A 2,314-nucleotide genomic window follows, 5' to 3' on the forward strand; every position below is an offset into this window, starting at 1 on the left:
AGGTGCACCTGTACTCCCAACTACTTAGGAGGCTGAAGTGGAAGAGTCATTTGAGCCTGGGAGGTTGAGGCTGCAGTGAGCTGAGATGACACCACTGTACTCCAGCCTGGGTGACAGAGTGAGGATCCTGTCTCAAAATGAAATGACATAAAATAAATGTCTGAGATTATGATTAGTTGTACCTTAACATTTCTTCAAGCACCTGCATTTTAAACTCTCATTGAGTATACCATTGAGAAAACAGTATTTTAATTTCTTGAGGATTTAGCACATCATCTAAACAATTTATTCAAGGTTGCTTTTTCCAGGTGTTTACATCATGGTGAAAAATAATAGCAGCAGTGAAAATACAAATACCACAAAGTTATAAAATATCCAAATACAGGCCTAAAAGACATTGCTTCTGGTATAGTTATAAGCTAAGCTGCAGAAGCATCTCTGAAAACTGTAACTGAAAAGTTATGAAGAAATTTAAGAAAAATAATGATCACTAGCACTCCTAGATGATGATTAACACACCTAGATTGCCAAGGGAGATTATTACCTACAAAATGATAAGATTTTTCATGTATACATACACACACAAACTGCTTGCAAAAAATACACTATTTGCAAAACAAAAGAAAAAAATGCGAAAGAATGTTTGTAATGGGTAGCTTTGATTTTGAAAGAAACAAAAAGCCTTTCCATGATTAACAAGATTACCTTAATCAAAATTAAAGAAATGACATAATGGTTAATTTATGGCTTGATTAAGGTATAGTAAGGGAGCAAACTATAGTAATATTTTGACAGAATATACTTGTAACGGAAATGGCTGCGCTTTAGTCAGGAGTAGACTGAGGTGGCCTTTTGGTGAAGTGTGACTCAGTGGGTTTGGAGCGCAGGCACACCACCCCCACATATTATGTAATCACTCCATGTAAGGCACATTAGGAAACCACTCACGCAAGCTCATACTCGGCTCAGAGCCACTATTGTCTGCAAAAGGTATAATTACCCTGCTGCCACTGTACCTATGGCTCACACCCAGGCTTGCACCCAGAGAGAGAATAAGCCATGTCAAAACTGCCTACGATTCCTCAAGTGTTTTTACAGTTACTCACCACTCACCCACTCACTCCCCTCAGACCTTAGCTTGGACTGGAACCTGACGCTTGGCATGATGATAATTTTCAAAAACAATTATCAAAACTATTGCATAATGGAGTCTTTCGATTTCTGATAAGTCCATAATATGTATGGCAATTAGTTCATTGTAGGCAAAAAAAAATTTAGGGCAAGAAAAACAACAATTATTTCAGAAACTCCTTCAGGAATAGGTGTATAGTAGAATTGATTGGATGAGATCTGTTCAACTGAATGAAGAGAATCAAATTATAGGAGTTAAATGAGTCAAGTTAAGAAATTTAGGAAAGTATATGCAGGTTAAAAAGTCCTTGAGGAAAAACAGAGCAAATAAGGAGAAAGAGGCAGGAGAGCTACAAAATAATTTACATTTTTGCTTCTACAAAATGAAATGGAATCTGACCAAATAGAACTAAAGTTTTAAGAGTGAGCTGCACATTCACCTCTCCTAGTAAACTTGGTAGTAGGTTCTTCATTTCATGGCAGTGATTTATAATGAGGGAAACTCTCAGGCAAATTGACTAACCCTTAATGATAGAACCTGGTTAAACCAGGCTCTTATTGGAGGAAAAACTCAGAAGTCTTCAGGGGCTTTCTGAATCAGATTAAAAGTGAGACCATTTAAATATGAGATCAAAAATAAGATTTATGGTATAATATAAAAGAGCTTAATTAAGTGTACATGCCGATGAGATTCCAGATACTGAGTGTGCTTATAATTGATGCCATTGATTTAGTCATGATCAGTACATTGAATTAAATACTCTAATTGCATATTATTTCACTGGTTCTTCTCTTAGACTTTGTTTCCTTAAGGAAACTTGTCCAGGGAAAAAAAAATGAGAGATCATTCTGTTGGTCACTATTGTAAACAGGTTTGGATTGTCATAATTACTCTTCCCAATATTTGCCAGGAAGAGGTGAGGGTAGCATAAAAAACACTAGGAAATCATCAGAAGAGAAAAAAAAATCCTTCTCAAAATCTAGTATCCTCTTTATTTTGTAAAACTTTTTTTTTTTTTTTTTTTGAGATAGAGTTTTGTTCATGTAGCCCAGGTTGGAGTGCAGTGGCACAATTTCAGCTCACTGCAACCTCAGCCTCCCGTGTTCAAGTGATTCTCCTGCCTCAAGCTTCCCAAGTAGCTGGGATTACAGGCATGCACCACCATGCCTGGCTAATTTTTGT

The 2,314-nt window shown here is 36.6% G+C and overlaps 1 annotated feature.

The window, feature by feature from the left end:
- Window positions 354-1,553: an enhancer, noted in NCBI's record as "P300/CBP strongly-dependent group 1 enhancer chr3:106483746-106484945 (GRCh37/hg19 assembly coordinates)". NCBI's record gives its function as "activates an origin of replication core promoter dependent on BRD2, BRD4, P300/CBP, MED14 and CDK7 cofactors, with strong dependence on P300/CBP, by STARR-seq in HCT116 cells {active_cell/tissue: HCT116}" and the evidence as "EXISTENCE:reporter gene assay evidence [ECO:0000049][PMID:35650434]".

The sequence above is a fragment of the Homo sapiens genome, chromosome 3 (genome assembly GCF_000001405.40).
Source record: "Homo sapiens chromosome 3, GRCh38.p14 Primary Assembly".
In the NCBI taxonomy this organism is placed as follows: Eukaryota; Metazoa; Chordata; class Mammalia; order Primates; family Hominidae; genus Homo; species Homo sapiens.